The 21,060-nt window shown below is 40.3% G+C and overlaps 1 protein-coding gene across 4 annotated transcripts in view, besides 1 other annotated feature; it reads right to left on the bottom strand.

The window, feature by feature from the left end:
• Positions 1-21,060, bottom strand: part of MIPEP (mitochondrial intermediate peptidase) — a 159,212-nt gene that overhangs the window by 53,196 nt on the left and 84,956 nt on the right. For 2 of the 4 annotated variants that reach the window (XM_011535098.4, XM_047430368.1), the window contains exon 17: positions 14,611-15,471. The exons of the other annotated variants lie outside the window; for them this stretch is intronic. In XM_011535098.4, coding sequence (XP_011533400.1) covers positions 15,454-15,471 — 18 coding nt within the window. In that variant the 3' untranslated portion in view covers positions 14,611-15,453. Of the gene's footprint in view, positions 1-14,610; positions 15,472-21,060 lie in introns of those variants that run through there. 4 annotated transcript variants of the gene reach the window in all.
• Positions 6,511-6,560: an enhancer, noted in NCBI's record as "active region_7465". NCBI's record gives its function as "activates an Ori minimal core promoter by ATAC-STARR-seq in GM12878 lymphoblastoid cells {active_cell/tissue: GM12878}" and the evidence as "EXISTENCE:reporter gene assay evidence [ECO:0000049][PMID:35858748]".

Raw genomic sequence — 21,060 nt, forward strand, 5'->3', positions numbered from 1 at the left:
TTGACAAAATTCAACAGCCTTCATGTTAAAAACTCTCAATAAATTAGGTATTGATGGGACATATCTCAAAATAATAAGAGCTATTCATGACAAACCCACAGCCAATATCATACTGAATGGGCAAAAACTGGAAGCATTCCCTTTGAAAACTGGCACAAAACAGGGATGCCCCCTCTCACCACTCCTATTCAACATAATGTTGGAAGTTCTGGCCAGGGCAATCAGGCAAGAGAAAGAAATAAAGGGTATACAATTAGGAAAAGAGGAAGTCAAATAGTCCCTGTTTGCAGATGACATGATTGTATATTTAGAAAACCCCATTGTCTTAGTCCAAAATCTCCTTAAGCTGATAAGCAACTTCAGCAAAGTCTCAGGATACAAAATCAATGTGCAAAAATCACAAGCATTCTTATACACCAATCACAGACAAACAGAGAGCCAAATCATGAGTGAACTCCCATTCACAATTGCCTCAAAAAGAATAAAATACCTAGGAATCCAACTTACAAAGGATGTGAAGGACCTCTTCAAGGAGAACTACAAACCACTGCTCGAGGAAATAAAAGAGGATATAAACAAATGGAAGAACATTCCATGCTCATGGATAGGAAGAATCAATATCGTGAAAATGGCCATACTGCCCAAGATAATTTATAGATTCCCCATCTATAAATAGGGTAATGCCCTATTTATAGGTAATGCCATCCCCATCAAGCTACCAATGACTTTCTTCACAGAATTGGAAAAAACTACTTTAAAGTTCATATGGAACCAAAAAAGAGCCCGCATTGCCAAGACAATCCTAAGCCAAAAGAACAGAGCTGGAGGCATCATGCTACCTGACTTCAAACTATACTACAAGGCTACGGTAACCAAAACAGCATGGTACTGGTACCAAAACAGAGATATAGACCAATGGAACAGAACAGAGCCCTCAGAAATAACACCACACATCTATGACCATCTGATCTTTGACAAACCTGACAAAAACAAGAAATGGGGAAAGGATTCCCTCTTTAATAAATGGTGCTGGGAAAACTGGCTAGCCATATGTAGAAAGCTGAAACTGGATCCCTTCCTTACACCTTATACAAAAATTAATTCAAGGTGGATTAAAGACTTACATGTTAGACCTAAAACCATAAAAACCCAAGAAGAAAACCTAGGCAATACCATTCAGGACATAGGCATGGGCAAGGACTTCATGTCTAAAACACCAAAAGCAATGGCAACAAAAGCCAAAATTGACAAATGGGATCTAATTAAGCTAAAGAGCTTCTGCACAGCAAAAGAAACTACCATCAGAGTGAACAGGCAACCTATAGAATGGGAGGAAATTTTTGCAATCTACTCATCTGACAAAGGGCTAATATCTAGGATCTACAAAGAACTCAAACAAATTTACAAGAATAAAACAAACAACCCCATCAAAAAGTGGGTGAAGGATATGAACAGACACTTCTCAAAAGAAGACATTTATGCAGCCAACAGACACATGAAAAAATGTTCATCATCACTGGCCATCAGAGAAATGCACATCAAAACCACAGTGAGATACCATCTCTCTCCAGTTAGAACGGCGATCATTAAAAAGTCAGGAAACAACAGATGCTGGAGAGGATGTGGAGAAATAGGAACACTTTTACACTGTTGGTGGGACTGCAAACTAGTTCAACCATTGTGGAAGACAGTATGGCGATTCCTCAAAGATCTAGAACTAGAAATACCATTTGACCCAGCCATCCCATTACTGGGTATATACCCAGAGGATTATAAATCATGCTTCTATAAAGGCACTTGCACATGTATGTTTATTGCGGCACTATTCACAATAGCAAAGACTTGGAACCAACCCAAATGTCCAACAATGATAGACTGGATTAAGAAAATGTGGCACATATACACCATGGAATACTATGCAGCCATAAAAAATGATGAGTTCATGTCCTTTGTAGGAACATGGATGAAGCTGGAAACCAACATTCTCAGAAAACTATCGCAAGAACAAAAAACCAAACACCGCATGTTCTCACTCACAGGTGGGAACTGAACAATGAGAACACTTGGACATCATACACCGGGGCCTGTCTTGGGGTTGGGGGAGGGGGGAGGGAAAGCATTAGGAGATATACCCAATGTAAATGACGAGTTAATGGGTGCAGCACACCAACATGGCACATGTATACATATGTAATGAACCTGCACATTGTGCACATGTACCCTAGAACTTAAAGTATAATAAAAAAAAAAAAAAGAAAAAAAGAAAGAAGTCCTCTAAAAAAAGAAAAAAAGGGTGTATGAGGGACTTCTAAGAAGAACATATATGATAGTATGCTAGCAATAGGCAGGTAAATCGAACAGTAAAAATTTCATATTAAAAATCCATCAACAATCAATTAAAAACTTCACAAATGATTATCCAGCCTGGGCAAGAACATCTGAGACAGAAGGCTGAGAAACAAATCTTGTTGCATATGAAAACCTAGTATCTGACAAAAAAATACCTTTTCAAATCAGTGGGGAAAAGACGAATTATAACGATGTAGAGACACTAAATCTGCCAGTGACTCACGTCTGTAATCCTAGCACTTTGGGAGGCTAAGGCGAAAGGACCCTTTAAGCCCAGGAGTTGAAAACCAGACTGAGCAACATCGTGAGACCCTGTCTCTACAAAAAACAGTAATAAAAAAAAATTAACCAGGCATGGTGGCACATGCCTGTAGACCCAGCTACTCAGGAGGCTGAGGTGGGAGGACTGCTTGAGCCCGGGATGTCAAGGCTGCATTGAGCCATGACTAAGCCCCTGCATGCCAGCCTGGGCAACAGAGTGAGGACCGTATCTTAAAAAAGACAAGAAAAACTAAAGCTGGTTCCAAATTTCATACTTTACATCAAAACAAATTTACATAATTAAAGATTTAATGTGAAAAATAAAATCATAAATACTAGAAGAAAATATAGGCAAAAATTTAAATAATCTTAGATAAGAAGTTCTCTTTAAGCATAACAGGAAACGGAAAAAGTCTAATAGATTTAATTAAAGCTATCAACAACATACAAGCAAAACAACAAAAATAAAATCTTTTCGATGTTAAAAAATCATAAAAGATGAAAGACAAATAACAAAATAGGGGAAATACGTATATCAAGAAGGATAAATGATTAACATTTTCATAAAAATCAATAGCAAAAGAAAGATCAACATAAACATGGGAAAATAATAAAAATAGGCATTTCACTCCCCATATAGTTGGTAAAAAGAAAAAAAAATAAGGAAAGAGTGACTTTACTAGTAATACATGAATTGCAAGCACAACTAAGTTAGCATTTGTGGAGCATCAGATTGGCAAAAATTAAAATCAGCAGTGAGGGTTGTCAAAAGAAAACTACCTAATCTATTGCACAACTTTGCAACGTGTCTGGGAACATCAACTTTGCTTACCTTTTGGCCCAGCAGTACACTGTTACGGACTTATTTTAAGGCTAAAGTAGTCAAGTGCACAGAGTTATGCAGACCTTCTATAATAACGAAAAAGGAGTACACAATCTTGAACACAAGGAGGGTCTGGGGCAAGATTTCAGAGCAAGCAGAGTGAATGTGAATACTAACTTCAACTAGGAGCAGAAGTCACACATGGGAGACAAACCAGGGGTGATGGGAACGCCACAGCTTGACACGCAGGTAAGTGGCAAGCAGATTGCTCAGTGCAAAGTATCCACATGTTGTGTCTGACACACAGTGGTAAAGGTCTTAGGAAAATGTCTGATGAACAAAAATGTACAAAGTTTAAACTACACATCTTAGTTTGGGCTGCTATAACAAAATACCATAGACTGGGTGGCTTAAACAATAGAAGTTATTTCTCATAGTTCTGGAGGCTGGGAAGTGCAAGAATCCAGGCACCAGCAGATCCAGTGTCTGATGACGGCCTGCTTCCAGTGTGGAGATGGCAGTTTGCTTGCTGCATCCTCACATGGTAGGGTGGGGGGAGAGAGAGCAAGAGCAAGAGACGGGGAGAGGGAGAGAGAGAGAGAGAGAGAGAAGACAGAGAGAGAGAGAGCACAGCAGGAGTGCACATGCTTCTCCTGTCTCTTCTTCTAAGGCACTAATCCCTTCATGAGGGCTCTATCTTCATATCCTAAAGATCTCCCAAAGGTCCCACCTCCTCACACCATCCTATTCATTTTCATTTATTGATTTATGTGTGTTTTATCCAGGCAAATAACACACTTTCTCTTTCTCTCGTGTCCCCTACCACGGCACTTCCAGGGAGTGCTCTGCAGTGAATGATTGCTCAGCATTGCGAAAAGTCTAGTTACCACCTCCAAGAATATCTCTTTTAGGATGCAGCTTTTCCGAGGCAAGTGAGTTTGCATTCTCTATCTCCAAGATCATTTAAAGGAGAGGGAAAGAATTTAGGCTCTAGGGAAATGGATGTTATATCTAGAACTAAAGCCATGATGACAGGAAATTTCTACTCTGAGCCCAAGTTAAGTTTAGTCCTGATCCTCCACCTCAGCTGCACTCTTCAGGTAAAAAAGGGTCCCTATGATTACTATCATTTCCATGAGCGTGGCCTCTTTAATGGTTCACAGAGAACTGAATGGCCATACCACTGGGAGTCAGCTGGAGGAGGGTGGGTGTGCATATGTTTGTGTGTTTCCTCTTCTGATTTTAGAAGGAATACATGCTCATTAGAGAAAAAATGGAATACTGTGAAAAATATAAAAAAGGAAACTCCCACCCTTAATCCACGTGTGTGATCAATATTTGCTAATGTTTCAAAGTTTTCTTCAGTCTATTTTAAAAAGACAAAATCACACTATGTATACTTTCCTATCAGTTTTTCCCTAAACTTATTTATGAATTCTTTCTAAACATGAATGACTGCATATTATTTCATATGGGCCATATTAGGCTATGCTATGTTACAATGTGATCACATGAACCCTAAAATCTCTGTGTTTGCTCCTTGAGCATACAACATGTCATCACAGGTCAGTGGGCCCGTCTCGCACTATCAGTATTTAGGAACCCATGTTCTCAAGACCTCCACCAACTGGAATGTCATTGACTGCTGAACCAAGGGCAGGAGATGTGGACAACTGTATAGTAGCTCTCGAAGGCCACAGCCTAGGAATGATACACATCACTTCTGCTCACATTTCTTTGGTCATATTAAGTCACAAGGCCACAAATAACTGCAAGGGGCATGAAAGTGCAATTCTACCATGGGGCAGAGATAGGAGAGCTGGATTACTAGTGAGCAGGCCTAGTGACAACCACATGATGCGCACTAGTTTATCTAGCCATTCCTTGAATGCTGGATTCTTTCCAATGTTTTTGTACATGTTATGATGATCAGTTCACCAAGCTTTATTGGATTTCTATTTATTCCTTTAGAACAAATTCTTAAATGTTACATTATTGGCTTAAGGGATATGTAAACTCTTCAGGTTCTTGGTCCCTCCTTTTAAACAAATTTATCCTTTTATGAACAAATATAAAATTATCTATCTCAGTGGAGCAATCCTCCTACCTCAGCCTCCCAAGTAGCTGGGACTACAGGCATGCAGCAACATGCCCAGCTAAGTTTATTTTTTGTAGAGACATGGTCTCGTCATGTTGCCCAGGCTGGTCTTGAACTCCTGGGCTCAAGCAATCTGCCCACCTTGCCTTCCCAAAGTGCTGGGATTACAGGTGTGAGCCATTGCACCTGGCCAATGTTGGGATTTTTAAAAAATTGTTCTTCTGTTGTCATTGTTTTATTTGTATGAGCTCTTTATGCAGCAAAACGTAAACCATATGTCACAGATGTTATAATTTAAAAAAACCAGTTTGTTTGCCAGTACATTTTATTCATCATGTTTTATGAGAGAAGTTCAAATCTACTACTCTTTGCATTTGTGATTTCTTCCATTTCTATTACATTTACCAACCTTCTCTAAATGAAAAAGAGCTATCTGTCTATAGAAGCCTTTTTTAATGGCTTATGTTTTTCCATTTAAATGTTTACTCTATCTGGAATTTACTTCATGACAGTAAAATAGAGTAACAGAAAGAGCTCCAGTCCAAATGTCAGGCAATGTGTGTACTAATTCTGCCCGGAACACCTTAGGTAAATGCCTTAGTCCTCAGTCTATTCTGGCCCCATAGCATTACTCCAAAGTTTGGAAAGCTACGCAAAGCTTCTTAGCTTCAGCACAAAACTGAACGGTCATCCTGGCCTCTGCATTACCCAGAGTATCAGGTACAAATAAAGAGAAAGAAATACTGTACTTCTATTTGGCAAGCTAACATAAAAACAGATCTCACTTTCCATGCCCTTCTTGTTGACCCTCAGTTTCTCCCACCTGCCGGGTTTGGGGCTTTCCTCATCCTACGCCCTCGTGCTCTGCTGGGAATTCCCACCCTCCCCTCTACCCGCACTAGCAGTTCCACTGCGATCAGTCTTGAGACCTTTAACCCTGTGGATACCCATGACTATGGCAGCACTGCTCTCCTGGCTGTTCTCTGTATCCACTTTCTGCCCTCTTCTTTTTCCTCCCTTTTCTTCTGCTGAGCTTTCTAAAATCCAGTCATCAGCAAAACCACCTGTATTTTCCTCTGCCTTCTTTGAAGGTTCCTTTCACCTTTTTATTCTAAAAGAAACCCAGGTCTCTGCTAAGAACCATACTTCCCTTGCAACTTTTTCATGACACGGCTGGTTTCTCGCCAAATCCTGCATATGACTGGGTCTGAAGGCAAGTAGGTGTTGGCTCTGGTTTTCACTGCCAGTTCCTTCTCCTTCAGAACACTCCAACTCTGATTTTGCTGACAGTGGACCATAATCCTCTTTACCCTTCACTACTGCAGTCACTAGCAGAAGCGTCCGTCCTTCTCACTCACTCCTTGAAGATTTCTTACTTCTGTTTTACTTCACTCTCACCAATCCTACTCCTGTTAGAATTCTGATGACAGCAATGCCCCCAAAGCTAATCTTTCAAATGTTCTGTGTGGCAGAAAGAATAATGCCCTCTCCTCCAAAGATGTCCACATCCTATCCCTAGAACCTGTGAATGTCACCTTATTTGGGAAAAAAATGGACTTTGCAGATGTGATTAAGCTAAAGATCCTGAGGTGAGAAGGTTATCCTGAATTATCTGAGTACGCCCTAGTCAGAACCACAAGGGTCCTTATAAAAGAAAAGCAAGAAGTAGAAGGAGGGGGAGGCAATGTGATGAGGGAAGCAGAGAATGCAGCCTGTGGCCCGGAGCCAGGGCACACCATCTGCCTCATGGAGTGGGGAGAGGCAGGGACTGGATGCTCTTAGGGGCCTCTGGAAGAAGTCAGCCCTGCTGACATCTTCATTCAGCCCATTAACACTCACTGTGGTCTTCTCCAGAATTCTAAGAAAACACATTTTTGCTATATTAAGCCACCAAGTTTGTGGTAATTTGTTACAGCAACAATAGGCAACTAATACTCTGGCCTCTCGACTCCTTGACCTTCTCTTCTTTAGTGATGATGTTCTTGGCCCTAACTCAGCCTCTCACTCCATGGTTACAATCTAGGCCTTGCCATTACTGTAACTGGAACCCCTTCATAATATCCACTCCAAGCATTCCTTTGCTCAACAATCACACCCTGTCTTTTCAGCTAACTCTCTAGTACCCTATCTCCAATCCCACTGGGACCTCACAATCCACTTCCAAATGTTCACCAGGCCAGAGCTCCCTCATGTGCTCACTGTCCTCTGCCTTGTTAAATCCCACAGTCAGTTGTCACAGTTGCTCTGAATAACCCTCAGGTCCATGGCCTGCTCTTGGACTATACTCTACATTCACTTGGCAAAACCACAGCCCTGGTGAAAGCTAGGCACCGAGTATGGCCAGGAAAAGCACACAACCATCCCCACAGCTCTCTTTTCAAACCAGTGGCACTAACCCCACTTGGGCCCTTAACGTGGCCTGCAATCATAACTCACATCTCCACTCTGCCATCTCTCCCACTCTCCTTTATACCTGCTCCTCTCTCCTCAAATGCCAGCAGCACTGCCCCATTTGCATGCTCAGCTGGTGCCCTGCTTCCGATTGACTGAGCAAAGCCCCGGAAGAGGACTTCCACAACACCATCTACCCACTGCTTGCATCTTTGTTCACACACCCTAAAGACGGTTAGGCTGTGCTCTCGGGCTCTACGGGCTAACCCCTCCACCCGTACAAAAATCCCTTCCCCTTGTCTATTCTCCCCTGCATCACTGGCTTTTCAGTCTTAATAGATCTTTCCCATTCACTTACACATATTATTCACCTCGTTAAAAATCCAAATGAAATCAGTCAGTCAAGCAAAAAAACAAAAACAACCTCCCTTTATCTGTACATCTCCTCCAAGTTCAATTTTTCTTCTCTTGCAGGAAAACACCAGAAGTGCCTCTACTCACTGCCTCCAATTCTTCTCTCTCACTTTACTTGATACCCACTCCATTTAGCCTTTGTCCCACCAACCACTCAACTGATAATGTTCTTATCCAAGTCAATAACGACCTTCACCTTGCTAAATCCAATAGTTGTTGCTCAGTTCTCAGCTCTTCTACCCTAAAGGTACCATTTGATACAATCACTCACTCACTCTGCCTTGAAACATTTTCTTCAGTTGGTTCCAAGACATTACCCTCTTTTTCCTCCTGCCTCATTGGTGTCTCCCTCTCAATTCACCTTTTTTTTTGGTTCCTCCTCACTGTCCCCGCCTCTAAATGTTGGAATGCCCCAAGGCTCATCTTTTAGACAGATTGTTCCCATTTATACTTACTCTTGGGGTTGATCTCACCCAGTTCCTTGGCTTTTTGATACAATCTGTGTGGGGATGACTCCAAATGGGTATCACCAGCACAGACCAGTCCTCTGAACTTGTACATCCAACTACCTATTTGACATCTTTTCTGGTTTGTTTAGTAGACGTCTTAAACTTAGTATTTCCTGATCTTCTGCTCTCCCTTAAGACCTACATTTCCCATAGTCTTCATAGTCTTCTCCATCTTTATTTTTTGAGGCAGGGTCTTGCCCAGGCTAGAATGCACTGGTGCAATCACAGCTCATTGCCTTGACTGGACTCAAGTGATCCTCCCACCTCAGCTTCCCAAGTAGCTGGGACTACAGGTGCGTGCCACCATGCCCAGATAATTTTTTAGTCTACATTGCCCAGGCTGGTCTTGAATGCCTGGGCTCAAGCGATCCTCTCATCTTGGCCTCCCAAAGTGCTAGGATTACAGGTGTGAGCCACGATGTCTGGCCGTCTTCTCCATCTTAATGGCAATGCCATCCTTTGGGTGCTCAGATCAAAACCCTTGCAGTAATTTTCAACTCACTTCTTTCTCTTACATTCCACATTCCATCTGTCAGTCCTCTGTTTGAAACCCTCCTATTTCATCCAGATTAGAGAAAACTTACACAAAGAGGACATTCAAGTGGCCTCTGAACATATGAAGAAGCACCCAGTATGAGTGGGTGTCATGAGACAAGTGCAAATTAAAACCACAGTGAGATCATTCTCCATGCTCCAGAATGGCTGAAGTAAAAAGGATTGATTACATCCTTTTAATTATAACTGGAGAGGATGAAGCAAATATCCAAATATTGCTGGTTGGAATGTAACTCATGATGATCACTTTGAAAAACTGGCGATAGCAAAATAAAACTAAACAAAAGTGTTCCCCATTTCACTCAGCTAAAATGAATGTTTATGTCCACCAAAAACCACATACAGGAGTATTCATAGGAACTTTATTCATAAAAGCCCCAAACTGGAAATAACTCAAATGTCCATCAGTAGTGGAACAGATAAATAAGTTGTGGCATACTGGAAAAGAAAATACCACAAAGCAATGAAAAGGAACAGATTACTAAAACATGCAACAAGACAGTGGATCTCACAGACATGTTGTATAAAAGTCATTAGACACAAAAGAGGATTTCTGTATGATGCCACCTACATGAAGGTCAAAACAGGCAAAACTAGTGGTTAACTTTAAAGGGGGTCGCAAGAGCCTTCTGGATAACTGCAGATGTATATATTTTGATCTGGGTGGTGGTTCCACAGGCAAACATATTTCCAGAAGTTCATGGAGCTATAAATTAAGATTTGTGTACTTTATGTACATTATATCTCAATAAAAATGTAAAAACATTTCTCAGTAAATATTTATTGGGTACATACTACTAACTGTTCAGGGCCCTGGGAAAACAATAAACAAATCAGAAATGAGCCATGCTGTTCTTTGAGGTTCACTCCAGTTGGGAAGATAGAAATGAATCAAATGGCATCAATACATTATAAACTGAGATGACCCATCTTAAGGGAAGGACCCCAGCCCTGGGAGACTGTAACAGAGGCTGGCCAGGTCTGGAGAAATGATGGTTCAAGCAGAAGGCAAAGGGAGCAGAAAGAGAGCACTCCAGGCAGCAGAAACAAGTGCCAAGACTCCAGTGCCAAAGGAAGCAGGCTGTGTCCTGCTGGAGGAAGCTTGGGTGACCAGACCACGCAGGAACTTGCAAGTGGGCAAAGGACTCTGGCCTTTAGCTTAAGATCAATGGAAGCCATTGAGGGTTTTAAGGGAAGGGACGTCACACTCAAATCTGTATTTAGAAAAGACCTCACTAATGTTGTGTGGATTTGAGAGTTGTATAGCAGATACTTCCTAGGACGCTCATTAGGGGAAGACTGTGAGTCCAGTCTAGAGCTGCTCTATCCATGAGAAAAGGCAAGAAGAATATTAAGAGGAGGAAGTGACTGAGAACTGCAGATTTTATGTCTTTAAATTTATGTTGAACCGAGGTAATTCATCTTCAAATCAGTGTGATATAGTACCCCAGGCTGCCTCCAGAGAAAGGGACCTGAGGAGGAGGGAGACTGTATTGTAAAGCTTTTGACACCCTGTGATTTTTTAATCATGCATATGTATTACTTACTCAACATAAAATTAAAATTAAAAATTAACAACACTCAACTGGAGCCTTCCTCATATTGCTAACGCTGCCTTAACTCCCTGTTGGTGATAAGGCATAAAGGTAAAGAGGCATCACAATGGTCCCTGTGTCCGGCTCTCATTCCTTGTGAGTAAAAACGGGACTTACCTCAGAAAATTACCAGAGAAAACGCTTCCTGAAATAGAAACAGCCTAAATCTAAAAGACACATGTGCATCATTTAAGATACAAAAGTTTACCTGGTAAAGAAATAACTTCTACTAATAGCCTGGATTTTTAGTTCCTTATATCTAGCTTGTCAAATTGCAGGCCGAGAAGAAAAAAAGGGCAGCATTATTCATGAAAACCAAGACAAAAATGAAAGTTGGTGATTTGGCTCAAAGGACCATATTAAAAAAACAACCGGGTAGTCATAATTTCCTCATGTTTTAAATCACTGAAATCTAGAGTTGCAGCTGTCCCACAAACTGAAACCATATAAATTTTTAGAAAATGAGTCAATCATGAGATTAAAGTTTCAATTTATAACACTTCTGTGTTTTAGTTACAAAGTCATAAATAAACCTAGCATGACACAGAAAGTAAATATTTTTTCAGTTGTTTATGCAGGCAAAGAGGAAAGAAATTTAACATGCAATTAACCACTTAGGTGTTTCTAGATATGCACCATATGGTCTTTCTTCGTATTTAAGATAAAAACAAAAATAAATATTGTTTTCTTTAACCTGATGTTTGCTTAGCAACATCAAATATTCCAAGCTAGCTCAGCCCAGGCACTAACTTCACCTCATGGAAGAGACTTTCCATTTGCAGGAGAGCTGGGGCATAAGAATAGGAGGAAACTTCTTCCCCAGGGCGAAGAAAAAAAAAAAGAATAGGAGGAATAAGCATTTTTACCAAATAGTTTAAATTGAATACTCTGGAGAGAGAGCAGTAAATATTTAACCCGCCTGGGGCTCCAGTCCTATTGTTTAATAGACAATATATTTGTTTATACATTTAAAAACAGACCCTTATGCCATTCTTTCAACCAACATCTGAACAAGTGTGGGATAAAAATAGCCAAGGTCCAAAGCAACCCTAAGATTTCTGTATAAGGACTCCCCATATGATCACGGTTACTTACCTGTCTTAGTTTAAAAATAACTAATGGGAACAATCTGATTGACATTTTAATCTAGATGACAGAAATCACTTAATGGATAATTATTTTCTTATCTTCATGTCTTATCAACTATTCTAAAATTAACGCTTTTAAGGTAAAATCATTATATACTTGATGCTACATGAGGTCAATACGTGGTGCTACACTTTTATATTAACAACTGAAATAAAGTTGTAAAGTCACCCATGAACAGCTTTAAGATATACAGTTAAAATTAAAAACACAAAAACATTTGAGAAGCTGAGGTAGGAGGACCACTTGAGGCCAGGAGTTTAAGACTAGCCTGTGAAACATAGTGAAACCTCATCTCTACCAAAAAAAAAAAAAAAGCTGGGAGTGGGGTGTGGTGATGAGCGCCTGTAGTCCTAGCTACCTGGGAAACCGAGACAGGAGGGTCAGTTGAGCCTTGAGGTTAAGGCTGCAATGAGCCATAATCATGCCAATGCACTCCAGCCTAAGTGATGGAGCAAGACCCTGTCATACATATACACACACAATTGTTAATATGCTTGAGTGTTTAAATGTCACCTATCTTCATATATTATATATATATGTGTGTGTGTATATGTATATACATGTATGCTCTATATATCGAACAAAGAAGCTCTTAAAAATTGACTATCGGCAGGATGCAGTGAGTCACGCCTGTAATTCCAGCACTTTGGGAGGCCGAGGTGGGCGGATAACTTGAGGCCAGGAGTTCAAGACCAGCCTGGCCAATATGGCGAAACCACATCTCTACCAAAAATACAAAAATTATCAGGGCGGTGGTGCATGCCTGTAATCCCAGCTACTGGGGAGGCTGAGGCATGAGAATTGCTTGAACCGGGGAGGCAGAGGTTGCAGTAAGCTGGCATCGTTCCACTGCACTACAGCTTTGGCAACAGAGCGAGACTCCATCTCAAAAAAAAACCAAACAAACAAAAATTGACTATCAAGGGAATGAGAGAACAGGAAAGAAAAGAAACTCTAGTAGTAATAATATATTAAAGCATTAACACCAAAATTGTGCATAACAATGCCATTTTCTCATGGTAGGTTTTAAATTTTTCTTCTTTTTGGGACTACTAAAAAAAAAAAACAAAAAAACTCCACGTAGTAAATGTAACAGTACTCTCAAAATCTCTCTGCACTCTTCCATTATATTGATTTCATCTCCCTATTCTCATCTTTCCACATGGTTAAGAGGCATGTTTGAAAGTTAATCCGGATGAGCACACTATGTAAACAACAGGGTTCACCACTAGCTGCACTCCATCTCCAAGCTGGTACAGTGGTTACTTTCCTTTGCATACATAATCATGGTAACAGCAGTGTCAGCTTAAGAATCTTCTCTAGAAATCAAGCAATCTTAACATGGGAAGCCCTCAAATTACACATAAGTTATATGCTAAAAGTTCATTCACTATTCTGTTACTTGGGAACTCACAACACACATCCAAAACAAATGTTCTATAAGTGATGTTTCAAGCCACTATACAGCCAATGTAACCCTAAAATAATAGAAAGGAGCAGAGCATTATATTGTTGTGATTATAGCAGTAGAAACTGAAAAGAAAATGTTAAAAATTTTGGGTTTTGCTGGTACTTGAGAAAAGGCTGTTCCAATGAGAACATCATGCCAACCACACTGGCTGACCCAGTCTGTGCCCTTTGACGGACACACCTCTGGGTAATCTCCTCAATTTCCCCTCATCCTACACAGCAAACTCTCCCTGTTCCCTGCTGCCCCTTCCCACAGTTAGTACCTTCACTAGACTAATGACTCCCAAATCTACAGAGCTCCCACCTTGCTCTGTCTCCTGGGCTGTGGACCCACTGGCCCAACACTGTTCATCTCCACTTGGATATTCTACAGTCACATCAAATGAAATTCATCACCCATGCACTCCTCACTGCATGAAGCAGCTACCACCCCTCCTGTACTCTGTTTCTGAACGTCATCCCCACCCCCACAGATGGCTCATTTTATTAAAACAGTGGGTGTCATTCCCACTCCTTCTCTTTTATCACCACCTCCCAAACTAGCAAGCACCAAACACCCAGGTCTGTCTGCTGGCTGCCGTGAACCTCTAAAGCACTCCTCTATTCTGCCTGGTCATCTTGTTTCTTTAGCCTCCAGGAAAGCTTGCTGATGCACAACAAATAGGTGTAGGTTGCCACATCATCAAGAGTGAGGAAGAATGCAAGAGCCCTACAAAAACACAAAAGGTACCTTTTTCTCATTAATGTTTCAGGGAAGGAGCCTCCCTCTGGAAATTAAAAACGAGGATCCCAATATAGCCTCGGTATTAGTTGTATACGCATCAGAATGTCTCAATCTTTTCATCTTTTATGCTCAGTCTCTCTGCTCACAACTCAAAGCAATTTGATAGGCTTGAGAACTATTTTGCTTAATAACGAGATGTCTGACAGGACAGCCAGATATAATGATGAATTGGTTAGCAAATACACATCTAAAAGGCTATTTCGAATACAGGCTCCATGAGAGCAAGGATTCTGGTCTACTTTATTTACTGTTACATCCATTGCTTAGACCATGTGGTAGCACGTAGTAGGCACTTAATAAAAAGATAACACATACATATACATTATATCAATTATTAAAAATTTGTAGTTATCACAATATAAATACAAAAAGCAAATTATTGTACAACTATTTTAATTGGGATTTGAAATAGTTTTCTTTATGCTAAAAAACAAAAGTGTGTTTGCTCTTTGGAGTGTCTGACTAAATTCAGCACAATTTTTGGCAGTTTTTTTCTAAAAACAGTTTGTTACACATAGAAAATTATACTTAATATGAAATATATATCACTTCTACATAATTAGACTTAATAGAAATTAGTCTGAATAGAAACCAGTCTCCAGTAGCAGCAACCTTTCTCAACTAATACACCTTGAGTATACTGCAGCAAATCAGGTATATCTGATTATGTCCCCAATAAGTCTGCAGCACACACCTACTCAAAAAGATGGACAGGTAACCAATGTTTATAGATTATATAAATCCCCCGATATAGTCTAGATATGTGTCTTGGCCCAAATCTCATGTCAAATTGTAATCCACAACATTGGAGATAGGGCCTGGTAGGAGGGGATTGGATCATTGGGGTGGATTCTCATGGTTTAACACTATCCCCGTTGGTGCTGTTGACACAATAGTGATTTCTTGTAAGATCGGGTTGTTTAAAAGTATGTGGCACCTACCCTCTCTCTCTCTTGCTCCTGCTGCCATCATGTAAGACACCACTCTCCCCCTTTGCCTTCTGCCATGAGTGTAAACTTCCTGAGGCCTTCCCAGAAGCTGAGCAGATGCCAGTGTTATGCTTCCTGTACAGCCTGCAAAAACCACGAGCCAATTAAACCTCTTTTCCGTATAAATTACCCAGTCTCAGGTATTTATTTGTAGCAACGTGAGAATGGATTAATACATATAATACATCCCTCATCCCCTCTCTAGGGTAAATTAGAATAATTTTTTTGGTTTTTTTTTTTTTTTTTTTTTTTGACAGAGTCTTGCTCTGTCGCCCAAGCTGGGGTGCAGTGGTGTGATTTCGGCTCACTGCAACTGCCACCTCCCAGGTTCAAACGATTCTCCTGCCTCAGCCTCCCCAGTAGCTGAGACTACAGGCATGTACCACCACGCGCAGCTGATTTTTTTTTTTTGTATTTTAGTAGAGACAGGGTTTCACCATGTTGCCCAGGCTGGTTTCGAACTCCTAAGCTCAGGCAATCCGCCCACCTCGGCCTCCCAAAGTGCTAGGATTACAGGCATGAGCCACCACACCCAGGCAAATTAGAGTAATTTTTTTGTTTTTGTTTTTGTTTTGGGACGGAGTCTCACTCTGTCGCCCAGGCTGGAGTGCAGTGGTGCGATGTGGGCTCACTGCAAGCTCCGCCTTCTGGGTCACGCCATTCTTCTGCCTCAGCCTCCCAAGTAGCTGGGGCTACATGCGCCCGCCACCACGCCTGGCTAATTTTTTGTATTTTTAGTAGAGATGGGGTTTCACCGTGTTAGCCAGGATGGCCTGGATCTCCTGACCTCATGGTCCGCCCGCCTCGGCCTCCCAAAGTGCTGGGATTACAGGCATGAGCCACTGCGCCCGGCCTAGGATAATTTTTAACTAATGCTAACACGGTGTCACTATAATATGCCAGTTTGTTGCTGGATGCAAAAATAAAACCCTAAACGTGGAGTGAATCCTATTCACAAGAAACATGTCTTCTTTTCATATTCTTTGTTGGTGTTTGTTCTAACGAGAAGGACCAAATATCAACATATCCTTCAGTCCCAGTAACTGCTTTCCTAAAATAACTTTTTCATTCTAGCTTTGAACAACTTTTATGCCATCAAGATGGTGAATTTTAAATTGTGAGTTGTGAAGAAAGACAATTTTCTTAGACGTATTATTATATTTTCATGTAAATACTTAGAGTGCTCAGAACTTTCTTATTCTGTTTTCAATTTGAGGTCACTAAAGGGCAAAAAGGAGTCTCACTGGTGGCAAGATTTATTCAGAGAACACTGTCACTCTGAGAACAGCTGTGCTGGAGACACAGCCTCACCACCCAAACCCACAAGCCTACCAAATTAGGTCAAAACACTAAAATACAACTGCTTAACAGATCTTCAAAACCTAGAGTCAGCTGTTCATGTTTTGTACTTGAAAAATACACATTAGAACAGAGTCAGAGGATCAAAGGCTAGAAGTTTCATCCCAGAGCTTTCTGGACACGACTGTATCTCAACTGTGTCAGAGAGGAGGGTGAAAATGTAAAATTACAAACCTAGAATGCTACAAAAATAAAAATATTACATTTTCTATTTCCTGAATTAAAAATAGGAGAGATACACAATCGCTTAGGGAAAATATTCTGAGAAGAGACAGTCATGAATATAAAAAACACAACAACACAACACTGTTCTCTAAATGGAAGAGAAGTGGTAACAGCAGAAGGTGAGCCTGTTGGTATATGTTGTACTATTGCCCTCTATTCACAAATGAGTAGAAAATTTTGGATTTCCAGCATCAAACTACTGTTAGATGGAATAGCAAGTAAGTACAAATTAGCCTATATTTTATACAGAGTGACTCAGCATGCACACAAATATCAATAAATTGCCGACACTAGAAGGCTATTTATTGACTTGTAAAGAAAGCATCATTATTTAATATGGAATATCTGTGGAGCTGCCCCTATTAAATAGTTACAGTCATGTAAATGCAATTTTCCAAAGTATGACCTACATAAAGCTAGTGCCTAGAAATTATCCATGAAGACTTCCAGGGTTAATACATTTGAGGATAGAGACTCATAATGTTTGTTAGCATATTACAGACTCCAAGCGGTTCCTCAGTAGAGAAGCCAGCTCAATGTTGTTTAAACCAGTATTGCTCAAAGATAACTAGTGCGACACTTTATTCCCAAGATGAGTTATTAATGCACTTAAAGAATTGCTAATATAGACATATGCAAAATCACTGTCTAAAAGTTTGTACCAGATTATGTACCTAAATTTGTATCAACTCCATAAGCATTATAAAGACTCTTCGTTGCTTATATTTTCCTTTTCTCATTGTTTAATTTGGGGGAATAAAAGGATTCATTTCAGAGAAACAATTTCTGGAGACAAGTTTACAGGGGGAACACTGTCACTCTTTGGCCCGCATGGGAAGGCGCTACAAAGTCATCTTCTATCCGATATGGAAGTTGAAAGCCTTGCAGTTGTCCCATTCCCGTGGATCTTGCTCATCATCCCAACCCATATATCCAGTCACCCCCACTGCACTGATTATGCCTTCTGCACTGTTCTCAGGTCTGTTTCAATCTTCCACTCCCCACAGTCAGTGTCCTAGTTTGAGCCACCAGCAGCTTTGCCAAGGTCCATTCTTGGCATACCCCATACCTTGTAGCCCAGATCACCTTTTAATCCTTGGAAGTGTTTTCTATCTACCAAGACTATATGTCTACTATTAGTAGAAAGAATGACAAAGTCATCAACCATGTACCCACCAATCAGTTTAAGAAAATATTTCTAAGACTCCTGTGAATCCACTCCTATGAATTCTGTGCTTATAATTCCCTCACTTTTCTTTATAGTCTAATCACATATGTATTTATCTGACAATGTACTGCTTAGTTTTGCATCACTCTGAACTTTATATAAATGTACTAGTTTGATTCATCTGGTATTCATTTATTTCACTTTACCTTATGCTTGTTAGGCTCATCAACTGGGGCCCTCAATTTCCATAGCTGAACAGTATTCCAGCTGTATGAACAAATTGTTTATCCATTTCTCTGATGACAATCACTTGGGTTCTTCCCGGAATCCTCCCCCTCACCTTTTTTTTAACTACTTACAACAAGTGCTGTTATAAACCCTCCTATTTTTTCATGCCTGGTACAGAAAAGTATACCTGGTAGAGAAAGTAAAACATTTTTTTTTCTAGGTTATATTAGGAATTGAATTGCTGGGTCATAGGGCAGTCCATATTCAGATTTCACAGATCTGTTCTGCAAAGTGGTTATACCAATTTGCTCTCCTACCTGCAGTGTATAAGAGTTCCTGTGACTCCACATCCTTGCCAACATCTGATACTGTCAATTGTTTTATTTTTTGCCAAACCAGTGATAGTAAAATATTTTAGGAGTATTGTAATGTGGTTTTAATGTGCATTCCCTGATTAATATTTAAGTTATTTTACGTCATTTTTTGCATATCCATGTCTTTTGTTTATTCAAAGTAATTTAAAAATATAACCTTTTCCAATGGCCGGGCATGGTGGCTCACACCTGTAATCCTAGCACTTTGGGAGGTGGAAGCAGGCAGATCATTTGAGGTCAGGAGTTCAAGACCAGCCTGGCCAACATGGTGAAACCCTGTCTCCACTAAAAAATTAGGCAGGTATGGTGGCAGGTGCCTGTAATCCCAGCTACTCAGGAGGCTGAGGTGAGAGAATCGCTTGAACCCAGGAGGCAAAGGTTGCAGTGAGCCGAGACTGCACCACTGCACTCCAGCCTGAGCAATAGAGTGAGACTCCATCTGAAGGCAGGGGGGGAAGTCAGTTTTATGCTATGTGGTATTTAACTTTAAATATCATTGAATTTGTCAGTCTTTTGCTTTATGTTTAATGGCTTTCCATTGTATCTAGAAGATCCCCAACTTAAAGATTTTTTAACTTTAAGATTTTTCAACTCCACAGTGGTGTGAAAGCAATATGCATTCAATAGAAACTGTACTTTGGGTGCCTGACAACCATTTTGTTTTTCACTTTCAGTGCAGTATTCAATAAATTACATGAGATATTCAACACTTTATTATGAAATAGACTTTGTGTTAGATGAGTTTGCCCAACTGTAGGCTAACATAAGCATTCTGAGCACATTTAAGGTAGGCTAGGCTAAGCTATGACATTCAGCAGTGTAGGGGTATTAAATGTATTTTTGACTTATGATAGTTTCAACTTACAATGGGTTATTGGGACTTGACCGCATCATAAGTTGAGAAGCATCTGTATAAAATATAAGATACTCAGAGTGGGTATAAAAAACACTATCATGGCCAGGCGCGGTGGCTCATGCCTGTAATCCTCAGCCTTGGGAGGCCAAGACAGGTGGATTATCTGAGGTTGGGAGTTCGAGACCAGCCTGGCCAACATGGTGAAACCCCGTCTCTACTAAAAAAACAAAAGTTAGCCAGGAGTGGTGGCGCACACCTGTAATCCCAGCTACTCAGGAGGCTGAGGAAGGAGAATTGCTTGAACCCAGGAGGCAGAGGTTGCAGTGAGCCAATACTGCGCCACTGCACTCCAGACTAGGAGTCAAAGCAAGACTCCATCTCAAAACAACAACAACAACAACAACAACAAAAACACTATCAAAAAGAAAAAATTCTTTTGTATTATCTTCTAAAATTTAAAGCTTTACTTTTCACATCTCGGTCTTTAACTCTATTTTTTGTGTGCAGTGTGATACAGGGCTGCATTTTTTTTTCCATATAGAGATCAATCACTACAACACCACTTTAAAAAATTGTTCCTTCTTCATCCAATAATCTACAGTGTCACTCAACCTATATTTGAGAGTCTATTAATTTGCTGAGTCTGCCGTTGGGCTCTTGCTCCTGTTTCACTGATATCTGTGCATCCCTACACCAGTGTTAGACTGTCTTAATTCCTACAGCTTTATTTGAATTCAAGTTGGTGGTCAAGTCCACCAACTTGATGTCGGGAATGTTATAGGCTTGATGAATGCATTGACAAACAAATGAAGAAATGCAGAAGTTTCTAAGTAGGAAGAGTAGGCTATCTGTACAAATCTAAACAAACTCTCAGACACTTTTTTTTAAAGGCAAGCCTTAAAATAATGTCTTTTTTTCTCTAAACATAGCTATGCTTCTTTTAAAGACCTCTTAAAACAATTTACACAAAGAGCAAGTGATGGCTACTGAACGTGAATTGTGGAGCTAATCCCAGTAAAGAGATACATCTTTCTATTTTCTCAAAAGGAATTAGGACAAGGCACACGGACTTAGCATCACCCTTCCTTTCAAATTAAAAGTGATTTATGGATTGTTGATTCAGAATTTGGTTGCCACTAATACTTCATATTTGTATGTTAAATGATTACAGAGAAGAAATCTGGATGGTAAGGAAGTTTTCTTTTAAAAAGAGACATAATTACTTTATTATTAGACCTACGATAAAAAAGGGCAGAAGGCAAGCAACTCAGTCAAACTGAAGTTTTGTAGCTTTGGCAAGCATCCCAGTTCTCCTAATGTTAGTCTTCCTAGGACTTTACTACTTACTGGTCATGAAGTTTAACTCATATTCACAAAGAAGAATATAAGATGAGAACAAAAACATACAAGCCCAAAAGCAGGTGAATCAGGCAATGCTCTGTGAACTGGAAAATGCTAGTAAA

The sequence above is a fragment of the Homo sapiens genome, chromosome 13, assembly GCF_000001405.40.
Source record: "Homo sapiens chromosome 13, GRCh38.p14 Primary Assembly".
In the NCBI taxonomy this organism is placed as follows: domain Eukaryota; kingdom Metazoa; phylum Chordata; class Mammalia; order Primates; family Hominidae; genus Homo; species Homo sapiens.